We start from the raw sequence: 16,738 nt of genomic DNA, 5'->3' as shown, positions 1-16,738 counted from the left end.
GCTGACATCCCTTCCTATGAACTCCACACTGTCATACCCTAAACACGAAATCTCCTTCTAAGAATGAAACTTAAAATCTGCCTCTCAGGATGAATTGAATCCTGAATGCCCCTCCATGCTTTTTAAGAGCTACTATGAACTGATTTTTTTCTCTTTTCTTTAAGGGAAAATGTGCAAAGTGGCAAGAATTGAATACATAATTCAAAGACTTTGAGTTGGAGTCTGTGTGGACTCTGGGCAGTACGGTCTCATTTCTGTTTTCTGCTGTTGTCTGCACTGGGAATGTGGAAGGAGAGCATTTTTTTTCCCCCTAGAAAAACAACGCGTCAGCTTTCTTTGTCGGCTTCAGTGACACTAAAGGCATTGCAGTGTTAGCCAAACTGGAGCCAACTGAAGCTTACACACTCCTGAGCAGGAACCAAATCATCGACTGGATCTGACACCTCTTCATTTTCCAACCCCTTCGCATTTCTCTTTTGATTGCTCTTCATATATGTACATGCACTTTTCTGTATTTCATATACATATACACACTGACATCTTACTAGCAATTTTTAGCTCCTTGACACATAATAAAGGCATCCATTCTCAGTGAAATCAGGCCTTCTGTTCAAAGTGTTTTCCCTAGAAAATATGGCAGCTTCTAATTAAATAACTCAATGAGCAGCAGGAAGGGATAATGTGAAATTTAGAGCAGCATTTCAGCTTATATAGCACCCTTCTTGACAAGCAGTACACAGTAGTTGACGGACTTCAGAAAACCAAGCTGTGCTACATTCTCACTGATGTGCTTGGAAAGAAAGGAGGGGAAGAAGGGAAGGAGGGAGGAAGAAAAAAGAAAGAAGGAAGGGAAGAAGGGAAGGAGGGAGGGAAAACAAAGAAAAAGAAGGAAGGGAGGGATGTCTAACACATCCCAGATATACACAGGGCAACACATCACCATTCCCTTGGCATCACCCAGCTGTCAATCTGGTATTTGTGAAAGTGCCCTGTGCTTACGAAAAAGGATAGTGGCCCAGGGCTGTCTAACCTTCCCAAATGACAGACCTAGAACACTCCAAGAGACCATATATTTATAAATATTTGAGAAATGGGGCATTCCCAGTATAACATATACTCACAGGGGTTGTCTTGCAGTGTGGGTGTCTTAATTTATTTTTCCTTCTTTTTTAAAGCCAGCAGCCATATCCTGAAGCCACACAGCGTGTTTGAAGAAGGGGTGAGTTAGCCAGCACTCCCAGAGAGATTTGGTTCCTCAGAAAAAGAGTCAAAGATGAGCAGCCATGAAGTTCCTCCATTGGTAAACCCAGCACAGCTGCCACCCAGAGCAAACCAGAATCAGGAGTTCTGTGATTATTTCTTAATGCTGACATGCACGACCCAGTTATTCACATGTAACTCAAGGATTCCAGAGTCAGTAGCATCCTTAAGGAAAAATTTTCTCCTTCTGTGAGTTTAGTTATTTAAGGGCAGGGGTGATGTAACCAATACTAGACACAAGAACAGTCCTCTTGAGGAAGAAGAGAGAGAGGGAGGAGCCATATCAGAAGCAGGAGCACCCTACCAGAAAGCAACCTGCTAGATCAGGGGCTCCTTGTGGTGGCACTGGTGACATTTGAGGCTGGATCATTCTCTGCTGTGGGGGCTGCACTGTGCATTGTAGGAGGTTTAGCAGCATCCTTCACTTCTCCTCACCAGATGCCCCTTTTCTCCAGTTGTGGCAACCAAAAATGTCTCCAGACATTGCCACATGTCCCCTGGGGGTGAGGGAAGAATCACCCTCCCCCACTGCCCTAGACAAAAGCCACAGAAAACAAGAGGAAGCGGTAGAAAAAGTCACCAGACACCAATTAATTTGGGGGTGGGGTTGGGAGCAGAAAGGGAAGAAAAGAATGTGGAGACATAAAGGAACATCTCACAGGTTTCAGCCAGGAAGATCAAACTCAACTTGCAGATAAGACAGTGGGTATAGTCGTGCAACCCACAGACTCGGCGTGATTATGGGTCCCTTTGAAGGGAGCAGCGCTTTTACAGGCAGGCCAAGGGGGCAGTGAAGCCTATTTAAAAAGGGAGCGGCTTGTAGTTTACCAGATATCTTATCAAACTTACTTTAAGAATTCAACGCAGGAAAAAAAATGCCACCCCTGAATGCTCCTTTCCTTAAACTTGGATACTAACAAAACTTCCTGTCAACACGTAGGAGCCTGAAGTGATTAAAGCAAAAGGGAGCACTCCCTCTATTGTGTCTGCTTCTAATCCTCAGAGAATTTTTCTTTTAGACACACATACAAACAACTTGGGATTTGTTGATGCTAACTGCAGAGGGGTTTACGCAAGGAGGGGCGGGGGCTGCTCAGACCACAAAATGAAAGGGGAAATAGAAGCAAAGAGAGAGAGGGCCTGAGAAAGTTTCCTTCCCCAGCTTCCAGTCAAGAGGGCTGGCACAGTGCTCAAGGGCATTTGGCGTCAGTCACTGGACTGCTCCCTGAAATGCCCTGAAGGGGCAGAGCCAGGGAAGCTGGCAGGGCCCTCTCTGCCTTTTTCACTTGGGAGCCCAAGTCAGCCAAAGAAAAGCTATGTGCCACCTTTATCATGCAACAAAAGCCACTGCAGAGCCCTCCAAGGCTCCAATGCACTTAATAAAGGCTAACTAAATAAACAAAGAACAAGTCCTGAGAACATAAAACTCTTCACACCTGGGTACCCTCTTTATTACAGACTCCAGTTTAGCAAGAACCCGGCAAGCTCTGACCTTACCTTGGAAACAAGCCCAACAGGGTGAACTGGTCACAGAAGGCAAAACTGGACACATCTTCCCACCTTCAACCCCCAGAGGAAAATGTCTGTTCTGTGCTCCAGACTATTTTTGCTGGGGGTATTTTATTTAAATTCCTTCACTTGATTATATGTTTTGCACAAGTATCTGAAGTTTTGTTCATTTTGTTGTCAAATGAATCTTCCTGCTTCACTTCTAAGTGAGGTTGAGGACCTCAAGTGACATATGCATTCATGATAATAATAACAGCAACATTTATAGAGCTCTTACTACATGCGAGTTCAAAGCACTTGAAATAGATTAGCTCATTAAATCTCAACTGAAGTCTTATTTTTACTTTCTGCAATTATAAATGATCTGTATCTCTTTTCCTCCTCCCCTACAAATTCTCCCAAACCCAGAAATGCGCATAGAAATAATAGCCAGTCACGTATTAGTTGATCTCTCTGCTAGATTGTCAAAATGGCTGCAATCATTCCCCTTTCGGTATCTCCCCATCCATTTGCAATGAGACCTTGTAAGCCCTCCCATCGAGAGGTGGAGTCTATTTCTCAAACCCTTGAATCTGGGTTTGGTTCTGTGACTTGCTTTGGCCAATGCAATTCAGAAGTGGCACTGTCTGAGTTCCAAGCCTGGATCTCGAAAGGCCTTGCGCACTTCTGCTCGCATGCTCAGAATTCCGTGATCACCATATGAACAAGCCCAGGCTGGCCTGCTAGACGATAAGAGGACACTGCCAGGGGGAACATCCCAGATGAGGCCAATCTAGATCAGCTAGGCCTCAGCTGACCTATCACTGATTGTGGACACATGCGCTAGCCCAGCTACAACCACCTGGCCTGGCCTAGCCCAGACTGGAACAACCACTGAGCTCAACCACAGACTAAGATATATGTTTGTTGTTCAGCGCCACTAAATTTTGGGGTAGTTTGTTTTCTAGCAAAGGTGTAACATTCAAAGCATTAACTATACTCTTTTAACCTTGTGATTCTCCAATATGGAGTTACAATATGCAATGTTTTTGAAACTTCTTTGACCATGAACTTAACTCTCCCTTTTCTCTCTTCTGTGTGTATACACACATGCACATTCCAAGGAACACACACACTAGGGAAAGGCTGCTCTAGATCACTCATCACAGGAGTAACTAGCATTGGTTCATCTGTAAGTTTTATGAAAAACAGCTGCTTTTCCTTCATGTCCGCTTATAGCTTTTGGTGCTGTTCTGAAAACATTAACCTTAATGGCAACTGTAACAACCAGTGTTATAACAACATATAAGAGCTGAGAAACCTCCCAAACATCCCCCATTAGTCCTTTGTTCTTACTATGGGCTATAAAGAGCTATTTAAAAAGACAAAAATCAAAACCAAGAACTTAATATTCTAGGCCCACTAAAACAATAATCAGAGGTTTCTCCCATAAAAACCCCTTCCACTGTAGTAAAAAAAAAAAAAAAAAAAAAGAAAAGAAAGAAAAAAGAAAACAAAAACAAAACAGTAAATTGCTGCAAAAAATAGACAAAAATGAACTGGCTAGAAACTGATTAAGGATTCGTTTTGAACCAAAATCAATAAAGAAAAAAACAAAATTCCAAGCAATGCCATTCACTGCTTTAACATTCCAAAAAGAACTCCCACACAAGTATTTTGAAACATTCCTGGAAATTCATGTTTTACTTAATTCATCTGCTTCCAATAGCTGGTTTTCCTTTTTAGTCCAACCATCCTTCTCAGAATTCAAACAATCTCTCTAATTTCATCCCTTTCTCTGGAGCAGGGTTCAGATGGTGAGAAGATATTATTATTGCTATCATCATGATCAGGTTTCTGTTGATCAACACTGTGTAAAAGAACCAGGTGCAATTTTCCAGCAGATGCCACAAAAATAAATGATAACATATGCAACCAACATCCTACCATTTTTTTGTAAAGTATTTAAAAACTTATTTGAAAGTTATCTAGTAAAAAATAAGTATTTCCAAAATGAGTTACTACATGTGTCAAAACATACACCCAACAGAACAGGACTGCTTCAAAAGAGCTGTCAGTCAGAGTCCAAGGAGGAAATCAAGGCCCTTCCTCCCTGTGAGCTCAGCTACTAAGATCGGCAGGCTTAGTATGCCTTCCCACCCAATCAAAGACTATTTTGGACTAACAAATATAGAAGGGATGATGGATGAAACCATTAGAGTAAATCATTATCCAGGCAAGAATCCTCAATGAATGCTAAAGCTAGGTGGAGAGAGTTTGATGAGGAATGGGATATTTACATAATGTCAAAATATCTTCCAACAAATTATATTTGTTCATTACAAAAGGAAAAAGAACAGCTACACAGACACCAGCTTAACTAATCAAATGTGACCTCACCAACAAGGGCCAAATGGACATCTGTGCCTCCTGATATGGTCCCCAGAGAACAAATCACTTACATGCCTATATAGCATTCCAACTGAAAAATGCCTAAATCCAAATGTAAATGTGAAGAAACATCAGAGAAACCAAAATTAAGGAACATTCTATAAAACAACTGGCTGGTATTCTTCAAAAATGTCAAGGCCACTGAAGACAAAGGAAGAGTTATGAACTGTTCTTGATTAACGGGGACAAAAGAGACAGGACAACTAAATGCAATGTGGGATCCAGGACTAGATTGTGAACCTTAAGAAAATTGTGATAAAGGGCATTATTGGGACACAGGTTACATAAAAGTATGAAATAAATATTATATTTTCTAAATTTGATAGCTGTACATATACAAGAGAATATTCTCATTCTTGGGAAATGCAAGGGGTAAAGGGAGTTTGATGACAGCTGCCTACTCCTAAATGGTTCAGCAAAAAAATTCACATATATATGAACATGAATTAGTGTGGGGGAGAGAAGGGATAAATGCAACAAAATATGAACAATTAGTGAATCTAGATAAAGGTATACAAGAGTTATTTACACTATTCTTGCACCTGTCCTGTAAGTTTTAATTATTTCAAAATAAAAAGTGAAACAAGCAAACATCACCAAATGCGGAGCTTGCTATGGGTGGATAAGGGTAAGGGCAAGACAAAATTGTACCCCCGAGTAGTCAATATGCAGCAGAGAGCCAGCTCTCTTCCCAGCTGCCCTTCATAGCACTGTCCAGAGTATTCCCCAGAATGGACCCCCTCTTAGCTTCTTTTGAGATGAAGCTTTTGTGACCACAGGCCCCTGGCACTCCAGGATGCTGCAGGCCTTGAAAGAAAACCAAAACCACTTCGGGCCATGGTTCAACTCTTTATGAACATTTTCTTCCTGCAGGTTTTCCACTGTGGTGGTTGGAGGTCTTATTTCTTTTGCCGGCACTGTTGGGAGAGAAAGACAAGACTGGGCTTTTATTGAGGTGTGAGGGACCTGGGAAGCCAAGAAACACAAGCAGGGACTCACAGGTTCCAAGATGAGCTTTTGGGGTATTTACTGGATGCCGCCCTATCTGTTTTCCCTCTTCTGTGTAGAGATCCATTGAGGTCAGCTCATCTGGGGAGACTGCCCCCACTACTGGCTCTGCCTCTGGACTGTCAGGAGCCTTGGGATGAGTCTCATGGCGGCTCTATGCCTCGGTTTCCTCATCTGCTCTGCTCAGTAGAGATAAGCAATCCTGCTGTGTCAGCCCTGCCATTTTTGGCAGCAGCAGAGATCAAGGCCTGGGGGGTGGGCCCTGGAAAGACATCCCTGGCAGGAAGACTGGGTCTCTGCCTCTCAAGTGGCACCTGCTGCTGAGTTTCCTAATTGCTGCTGTGTCCACCCAATCATGTGACTGTGTTGCTACCTCAGTTTCCATTCCAGCATTCCTGCATTCTGTCAGGCCTGAGTCCTGCCAGGCTCTAAGACTCAGCCTGATGGTGCCCTAGTTCTCTCCCTGCAGAGCCATCAGGCACTCTGTACTTCCCCACTACCACCCCTACTCACCATATTCCAGCTCCATGAGCACACATGCTAGACTCATGATACTTAGCGACAGAACTGCCTTGCTGACCATGGACAACTCCTCAAAAGACAGTCACCAATGTGAGTTTTTCTTCAAAGAGTCTTCCTTATCCATTTTTTTTTTCCTAGCAAGTGATGGACAATGTAACCTCAGAGACGACCTCTGACCTCCAACATAGAACCATACACCAGTGCAAACCTGACTTCTTGATGTAACTAGAGCAGGTACCAGGAAGAAGATGAATTAGAACTGCATGATGGAGCCACATCAGTTTCCCAACTGCAGTTACTGAAGGTGGCCTTGTTGGGTTCTCACATAATAACTTGGAGAGGAATTATCTTAAGAAAAACAAGGAAAGATTTAGGGGCAGTGTCACAAGATGGCTCCTAACAGGCCAATCACCAACTTCACAAATTAACATTCGGGGTCTCTAAATCAGCACCTCACAAAGAAAGCTTCCCTGCTACAGCAAGCCCACATTTGCTCTGAGCCAGGCCTGAACTGAAATCCAGTCCGGCTTTTCCAGATGGCAGCACCGGGAACTTCGGAAGAGCAGCCACACCCAGGCGGCTGCAGCTCCTGAAACCTGGACCACAGACGGCCCTGGGCTGCTTCCGGATGGGGGGGATGGGGCGGGGGGGGGGGGGCGGCTTCTGGCTACTATTTGAGCAAATGTGTCAGAGCTGCCCCCAGGGGGAAATTGTGGGCCTGACACAGAGCCCCACTCCCAAGACAGGTTCTTCAGAGGCTATGGCACCAACCAGGCCAAACCATCTGGAAAAAGCCAAGGTTGAAATATTCTCCAGCTCTTCCTCCCGCCCCCTTATCCTACAGGTCAGTGGGGCGGCTCTGGAGGAGCCACTGCATTCCTCCGAGGCCAGAATCCACACACTAACTAACTAAGAGCTTGCTCCAGGTGACTCGGAGGCAGCACAAAGCAGAGAATCAGAAAGCACGACCTTAAAATGCCACAAAGAATAGTGGACACCATCTCTCAAGTGGCCCTTGTAGCTGGACATGGCTGTGGCCCAGGACCTACCTGTCTCTGTCTTCCAAGCCTGGGCCTCATGCCACAGCCCCCAGGGGAGCAGAGAGCAAGGTATCTTGACTTTGACAAAACCCAGTTAAGGGCTGAGCATGCGGGCTGCTTCCTCTGCCAAACCAAAACGAAGCAACCAGGGAATTATCCAGAGAATTGGAACCAAACCCTGATTTTCCAACATCATTCAGCTAAATGAAGACCGTTTCTTAGTTTTCCACTTTGCTTCAGCTATGGTGACCAGGCCTTAGCTAGCTTAATAATGAAAATGAAGCACTTGCAAATAAAAATACATTTGGCTTTGCAAAATGAATGAATGATTAAAAGAAGAAAATTAAGCAGCAAAAATTGAGCAGACATCTCTCCCAAAGAAGCACTTTTGGAAACATATAATGCATTAGATGTAATAGATATTTGTAGGACAATAGAGGGTGGGATAGGCCAGGCATGGTGGCTCACGCCAGTAATCCCAGCAGTTTGGGAGGCTGAGGTGGAAGGATCACTTGATCCCAGGAACTTGAGACCAGCCTGGGTAAGACAGTAAGACCCTGTCTCTACTAAAGACAAAAAAATTAGCCACATATTGTGGCGTGCACCTGTGGTCCCAGGTATACTGGAGGCTGAGGTAGGAGGATCGCTTGAGCCCAGGGAGGTCGAGGCTGCAGTGACCCAAGATCATGCCACTGCACTCCAGCCTGGTTGACAGAGTGAGACCCTGTCTCAAAAAAAAAAAAAGAGGGAAGGGAGAAAAAGGTAGAACTCACTGGAGATTTTCCTCAGTAGCAAAAGCATAGAGAAATGGGAGACCCAGCTTAATTCTGCAAGGTCTCATTGGTCACACATTACAAGAGACATCTCAAACAGATCTGCCACCCTGCCCCTGCCATCCCTCCAACTAGACTTTCTGGAACAGAACATTTCTATTCCCACCATGGATATAACATTTCTGAGCACACAGGCCCCTAGCTTTGTGCTCCTTAGAGAGGGCCAAATTGGGCTCCTTCATGTAACTGGGTTGCAGAGAGTCAACGCAGCAAGGAAAGAACCTATAACTCTTTAAAATTCTCAAGAGCAATGCTTCTTAGACTGTACTGTGCGTGCGAGCCAGCCATCCTGGGCCCTGGCTGAAATGCAGATTCTGACTCAGTGGGTCTGGGGTGGGGTTGAGGGTCTTTGTTTCTAATGAGCTCCCTGACGATGCGATGCTGCTGGCTCCATGGATCCCACTTTGAGAAAGCAGGCTCTAAAATACACCTGTAAATAAAGAGAGTGGTGGCAGGGTATGCATCCCAGTTCAAATAAATGAAAACACCCTCTACTTACAGCCTCTTCTCCATCTTGAAATTACACTTGCAATTAAGAAAGAGGGTTCATGCTTGCACAATTTCACCCAAATAATGACGGCAATATTTAGAATGGATGGAAATGTGTTTCTACTTCCCAATCATGCTTAGGGAAATTCCATTTAAAAATTGCTAATTTTCTTCTCTCCAGTCTCTCCCTCTCTTCCCTTACAATCCCTCTTAACATGACAATAAGCATGATGCCCTTCAGACAGCATGTTAACCCAGCTGGATGTCCACAACTGGAGAAGCAATTCCTAAAAGGGGTAAAATGTTTCAGATCCAGCAATTCTGCTTTCTGTCCAAACAGAATGTGAGCAATCCATGCTATCCTCCGAGCCAGTCCCAAATCCCTACAGAGCTTGCTTTCTTGGCAGTCAGCAAGACTATCACTGTCTGTGCTTTCATTATCCACTCTTAGATCTTAATCATTCAGAGACATTCCTATTTTCCATGTTTGCAGGAGAAAGAAAACAAAAATGAAAAAGTGCCTTTCTCATCAAAGCCCCCCCAGAATTGGAATTTACAGAAATAGCATGTTATTGGTTATCTCGCCTAATCCTTTAGGGAACCTTGCAAAATTATTCCCTAGGGTGGATTCAATGGGTGCAGCCAAGTTTTAAATGTCCACAAAGATGAGGTTTCCCATAAATTCACAAATGTCAAATGGAACTAACTCTGATGTGTGTGTCATATGCAAAGAATTAGGAATGATCAAGAACTAGTTCCTGGAAACAGAAATGTAAGTCTTGACATTTGCTCATTAAATCATTAAAAACTCCATAAGCACAAATGGGGGTGGGGGTGGGGAGTGGGAAATGCCTTATGTTGGGAATTGAGAGATTAAGAGGCAAAGAACTTGCTAAATCAGAATTAAAAGACTGAAGAGCCCTACATCCTTATTTTAAATGAAATGAGGATGATGATGACGATGATGATGATGGGAGGTACACCAGTGATCATCTCTCTTCCTTCCCCTAAGTCCCTCAGGATGGTGGTCCCGGTGGGTTATCCTAAACCACAAAGAAATACGACTATAGCTAGAAGCAAGTGGTCAAGTGGTATTAGAGCTCTTTTAATCTGATAGCCACCCTGCCCCTTCCTGGCACTTCCCATGTTTCATGTTTTATTTCAAAGTGAAACCCAAACACACTCCGGAACATCCGGGCGGATGGTGTGCGTGTGCAAGTGCTCCTGGGTCTCAGTCCAGCTGGCCCAAGCCTCCTTGTTGTGTAAGGCCCTGGGAAGACAGCAACATGCTGTCCCCCTTACTTCTCAACAGCTTGCTCATTCATATTGGAAACTAAAATGGGCCGCAAAACAATGGAAAGACACATTTCAAAATTGTTACATTTCTTTCTTTTTTACTTTTTGGTTTCATCATAAACACTTCCCCCAAAATAAGCCTTCCATACTGGAGATGAAAGAATGAGTGGTGAGGGTTCCAGAAAGTCCAGAGGATTTTTTCTGCTGTGAGGTCTCGAGATGTCAAGGAAAGCCAAAAGCTGCATTCATTCCCATTGCTTAGACCATTGCTAAATGTAATCATGTTTAATAGCACAGTATGGCTTTTACAACCATTTCTTCAACGGCCAATCTAGTAGAACAGCTGGTTTTTCCAGGAGGCATTCGTGCAGCACAGGAAGCTGCAGCATGATGACAGTAACAACAATTATTATACATATTGAACACTTACTAGAACCTAAGCACAACACTTAGTGCTTTATTCACCCTCCTCTAATTATCACAACAAAAGCCTATGACATAGAGACAGATGAGAAAACCAAGCAACAGAGAAATACAGTAACTTGGGCAAAAGCAACACAGCTGAGAAATGGGAAAGTCAAGTTATGAACCCAGGTCTCAGCTGGCTGGGAAGCTGGTGCTTTTAACCAGAGGTTCTCAGAGTTTGCGTTAGAATCATCCAAGCCCAAGCTGCACTCAAGATCAACTATATCAGAATCTCAGAGAGTAGGACCCAGTCATCAGTATTTTCTCAAGCTCCCCAGGTGACTCTGGTGTGCAGCCAAATTTGAGAACCATTGTTCCCAGCCACCATGCTTCCTTGCCGCCAGGTAGAAAGGCTGAGCCCATCCTAGATCTTTGTTCAAGTCATCAGTAAATCTGCATGGAGAGCAAACAAGCATCTTTCAGCAGATGGAAGGATTTTGGAAAGGTCAAAGATCAGCAGAGGCCAGCATGACAGGAATTGCTGTTACAGTATGTCCCAAGGGCTCTTGCTTGGTGTGTTCAGGGCAAAAGTGAACTCTGGTAGATCAACTGGAGGGGCGGGGAGAGGCAGGCCATGACAGCTATGAGCTAACTTGGGTTGTGGCCATGCGTTCACTCCTTGTGTAGATGGGAGTTTGTGACTCTCTTTACTACAGCATCTTTTGCTACCGTAGTAGATTGTATTACTGTTTTCATCCTTATCCTTGCAGAAGGTTGACACATCCCCATCTTTGCTCTGTTGAACTCAGAGTTGGCTGGGCCACATGAGTTGCTTTGGCCAATTAAGTGTGAGCAGAAGGGTTGTGTCGCTTCTGAGCATAAACATTAAGATCAAGTGTGTGATTCACCATTTTCTCTTCTTTTATCTGTCACTTGGGCCAGCAGTGTTCTAGGCAGAGACCAATCCCATCAGCCCCAGTCCTGGAGTGAAGGAGACAGGAGAGAGCTGTAGCTGACCTGTATCAGACATTTTTCATGAGCAAGAAAAAAACATCTGCTGTTGTAAACTGGTGAGATTTGGGAGTCATTTGTTACTGGGCTGGTCCTGACTGATACAATCACCCACCCTTGAAATACTCTGATTTCATCTATACTCTAGGGAATATGGATGAGACACACCAGAGCATTTCCTTCTCCATGGAACTCTTCTCAGGAGGGAGGAATGGAGACACCTAATATTAGTTCTCCCCTGATACCTTAAATCATTTCTGAGACTGGAAAGGGCCTAACTAAATGAAATTGAATTAAAATAAATGGATTTTCTCTCTCTTACAAACAAATAGCATTTGAAATTAGACACCTAAATCCTCCTCTTCTTTCTCTCTGGTCCCCTAATTTTCCACCAAAAGAGTGAGGGCCCATTTACAACACAATAAGCCCTCTAACATTCTCCCCAATACTAGTAGTTCCTTAGGAATGAAGATTTTGAGGCAGATAGCAGCCCAACTTGACTTCCCACCCTGAAACCAGGGCCCTGACTGATTCAAAAGGAATAGGAGGCACACAATGCAAATGACACTTTCCTTCCTAAGGCTTGGAAGTAGGTAATACGCTATACTATCTGTAACAGGTGATTCACTATAGCATTGAAGACTTAGAGGAAAATTACAGATCATTTAATCCAGTGATTCTCAACCTGGCTCCAACCTCAGAGGTTCTGATTTAATTGGTCTAGAATTGGATTTGGGCATCAACATTTAACAACAAACTCCTCAGTGACTCTAATGTGCATCCTGGGTTGAAATCTAATCCCAAGTCCCTTTATTACCTCAAAGGCTTAGAGGGATGAAGGTCACATGGCTAGTTAATGGCAAAAGTCAAGACTAAAACCTTTCATCCGTGATCTTCTCACTGCAGTATGTTGCTTCTCAATGATTGTGTTTTTCTAGAAGAACCACTTGCTCCCATGAATTTAATTAAAAGAAAGATGACAATACCAATGGCTAATGTTCCTGTTGGTCTGAGTGTTCAAGGGGCGCCTCTGTGCATTTTATCCAGCAATCAGGGACAGACGTCTTCCACTAGACAGATACCCAAAAGGCACTTGCTCTTCTAGGCTTTAAAGCAGCCCCATATGCTTCTGAGTTGAGCTGATGTCTTTCATCAAACTTGATGCCATTATGACACAAATGTGGGAGCTTTGTTTGAGTTCTGGGCTAGCCATGCAACAAGCTTTTGCTTTTAAGGCTGTAGATCCATATATTCCCATTCCTGGGTTAAAATGTGTATGTGCACGTGTGTGTGTGTGTGTGTGCCATTTGAATTACACTGGGGCCAAGTTGGCAGTATGTGGAGGTTGAAAGGTCAAGCAGACATAGGAAGATATCACACAGGCACAAATGAAACATCTCTCCCCTCCTGTACACTCCTCAATCTAATGAAAATAACACATTGGTAACAAAGATGGTCAGTGTTTTCTTCGTGTGTGTGTGTGTGTGTGTGTGTGTGTGTGTGTGCGCGTGTGTGTGTGTTGTAAGTTAAATCCCCTTTCAAGAATATTTATTGGCAGAGGAGGGGCATGTGTGCACATGAGGGTATAAATGCTTGGGTCCATTTGCAGAAGCCAGACCCTGGAAAGAAGTAGCCACTGAAGTCTGTCAAAATATGGAAAAACATTTAAGGCCTCTCTCTGACTTGAGCTAAATAAGCAGGATTGGAAAACAATCTTCCTGCCTTTCAAAAAATCATTCAAACTCAGTTCTCCAAGCCTAATGCTTCTCACCAAGTATCAGCTAAGGATGCACTGTCCAATATGGTGGCCAGTTGTCACATATGGCTTTGGGGTATTTGAAACTTGGCTAGTCTGAATTGAGATATGCTGTAAGTGTAAAATATATACAGAACTTCAAAGGCATACTACAAAAGAAAAATGTAAAATGCTAATAATGTTTTATAGTGATCACATGTTCAAATTATAGTACTTCAGATATGTTGGTTAATAAAATATACTATTAAGATTAAGTTCACCTTTTTTTTTTTTTTTACATCTTTTAACAGTTTGTCTCCTAGAAAACTTGAAATTATACATGTGGCTTGCATCCCATTTCTACGCTGGACCAGGAAAATCATCTTAATGATTATTTCACTTGATTCAAGTCAGATGTGACAAATTATTGACTACATTTGAAGTAATTGAGGCAGAATAATACTCTTGTTAAGAACCCAGACTGCCTGAGTTCCAATTGTAGTTTGGCCACCTACTAGCTGCGTGTCCTTCATATTTAACCTCATCTGTAAAATGGTAATAATCATACCTCTATCCCATAGGGTTGTTGTGAGAATTGAATGAGCAAAATAAATGTCCAGTGCTTAGAAGAGCATCTGGCAGGTGTGAGTGCTCAATAGATGTTAAGCATTATAATTATCCAAACCATGTTAACATTTTAGTCATTTTAAAGGATCCTAAAAGGTTTTCCAGACTTCAACAGGCTATAGATGAAAGAGGTTCTACATTCAAGCTACAGCATATACAAAAACATTTCAATAATATACATGAACTTGTAAAATCTCACTAGTTAGCAGTCAAAACATCCTTCTTTGTACATAATGTGGACAAGTCTTATCACTGAATAATAGACTTATAAAACAGATAAATATTCCTTGGTATATAATATAGACTCAGAATTTCAGAGCTGGCAGTTGAATCACCATTTATCCTATACATGAATTACCAGTTTTCAAAGATTCATGGCACAATGGAATACTCCCAATGTTGAAATGGTATTAAACACACTAACCCCTCTTTGATGATTTAGAAGATATTTGCAGAGTTTTTAGTAAGCACAGGTCAGTAACACATGAAGCATGGAAGGGTCATACAGGCACTGCCCTAGGTGATGAATAGGGCCAGCTTTCACTGTATCATGTACATGTCAGGTAATAACAACTGAGTATGTTTGACAAAGAATCCACACACACTGAAAGAAAAGCCCATTCTGCTTCTCCAAATTTGTGTTATTTGCTCCAAATCTGCAAGGGCCCCTCATCTCTAGGATGACCTAAGCTGACCTGATTTATAGTTCAACTCTTGGATTCTGGGGAAGGCATCTTTCAAGGAGTCAGTGATCACTCATACCGACCCTGATTCTACCCACATAAAGCTGCCAGTCTGCCCCCCCACACATTTCTGCTTATCCAGAGAACTTTGTTGCTTCTAAGCCATCCAGTTGCAGAGAAACCAAAGAAAATAATGACAAAGGAAACAGCCCTATAAGTGCAGCAGACCTTGGAGAAATCTCTCAGGGTTGAAACCAGGGTGTCTCAAACTTGGCACCATTTACATGTCCTGGGGGCTGTCCTGTGCACTTATAGGAAGTTTAGCAGCATCCCTGGTGTATTAGTCAACGTTCTCTAAAGGGACAGAACTAACAGATATATGTATAGATGAAGGGGAGTTGATTAGAATTGACTCACATGATCACAAGGTGAAGTCCTACAATAGGCCTTCTGCAGGCTGAAGAGCAAGGAAGCCAGTCCAAGTCCCAAAACCTCAAAAGTAGGAAAGCCAACAGTGCAGCCTTCAGTCTATGGCCAAAGGCCCGAGAGCCCCTGGCAAACCACTGGTGTAAGTCAAAGAGTCCAAAAGCTGAAGAGCTTGGAGTCTGATGTTTGAGGGCAGGAAGCATCCAGCACAGGAGAAAGATGAAGGCCAGAAGACTCAGCAAGTCAAGTCAAGTCCTTCCACATTCTTCTGCCTGCTTTATTCTAGCCACGCTGGCAGCTGATTAGATGGTGCCCACTGGATTAAGGATAGGTCTGCCTCTCCCAGTCTACTGACTCAAATGTTAATCTCCTTTGGTAACACCCTCACAGACATGCTGATTTGGTTTGGCTTTGTCCCCACTTAAATCTCATCTTGAATTCTCATGTGTTGGAAGAGGGACCTGGTGGGAGGTAACTGAATCATGAAGGCAGGTCTTTCCCATGGTGTTCTCGTGATAGTGAAAAAGTCTCATGAGATCTGATGGCTTTATAAAGGGGAGGTTCCCTGCACAAGCTCTCTCTTTGCCTGTCACCACTGATGTAAGACATGACTTGCTCCTCCTTGCCTTCTGCCATGATTGTGAGGCCTCCCCAGCCACGTGGAACTATAAATCCATTAAACCTCTTTCTTTTGTAAATTGCCCGGCCTTGGGTATATCTTTATCAGCAGCAGAAAACAGACTAATACACACATCCAGGAAGAATATTTTGCATCCTTCAATCAAGTTGACATTCAATATTAACCATCACACCTGGCCTCTACTTACTTAGGCAGTAGCACCTCCCTCCAGATGTGACAACCAAATACATTTCCAGACATTGTCAAATGTCCCCTTGTGGTGCACAACTGGCCCCAGTTGAGACCCACTGGTCGAAACCAGTGAGTCTCAACCTTGAGTGCACATAAGCATCACCCAATAGCTTGTAGAAAACAATGTAGATCCCTGAGCCCCACTCTCAAAATAGTTTGATTCAGGAGGTCTAGGGTGGAGCCCAAGAAGCTGTGCTTGCAACAAGCTCTCTGGGGGAGATTCTGATGTGGTTGATCTGAAGTCCACATTCTGAAAAACATTGAACTTGCAGCCTGCATGCACACCCAGGTCAAAATCAAGGTTATAGAAAGCATGAACTTGAAACCAAAGCAGAACCAGTTAGACAAATGAGCCATGTGGTGTATAAGTTGCTTGATTGTGTAGAGCTACACGTGGGAGAAATAAGGTATTGAGATTAAAGAAGTTGTAGAATAGAAAAGAGCCCATTTGTAACCTACCATGGGAAATTAAGAATGCACTGAGCTCATACTGTAATTTTACCTCCTGGGAAGCACTGAATGCAGGTGAGTAATATATCTACCAAGGTTCCACGTTAATTTTTTCCCCTAATGAAGAAACCGAGCATTTACAG

General features: G+C 43.3%; 1 protein-coding gene and 1 long non-coding RNA gene across 3 annotated transcripts in view; both read right to left on the bottom strand.

Moving 5' to 3' along the window:
* LOC101928389 (uncharacterized) overlaps positions 1 to 1,445 on the bottom strand; it is a 58,726-nt gene extending 57,281 nt beyond the window's left edge. Inside the window, exon 1 of the long non-coding RNA NR_135631.1 lies at positions 1,122 to 1,445. This is a non-coding gene — a long non-coding RNA (uncharacterized LOC101928389). The remainder of the gene's footprint in view (positions 1 to 1,121) is intronic.
* The window catches only part of NHS (NHS actin remodeling regulator), a 360,795-nt gene that overhangs the window by 206,115 nt on the left and 137,942 nt on the right, over positions 1 to 16,738 (bottom strand). The gene's annotated exons all lie outside the window — the stretch shown is intronic.

The sequence above is a fragment of the Homo sapiens genome, chromosome X, assembly GCF_000001405.40.
Source record: "Homo sapiens chromosome X, GRCh38.p14 Primary Assembly".
NCBI lineage: Eukaryota > Metazoa > Chordata > Mammalia > Primates > Hominidae > Homo > Homo sapiens.
Note: the sequence above shows the minus strand (reverse complement) of the source record. Positions and strands in the feature narration are given on the sequence as shown.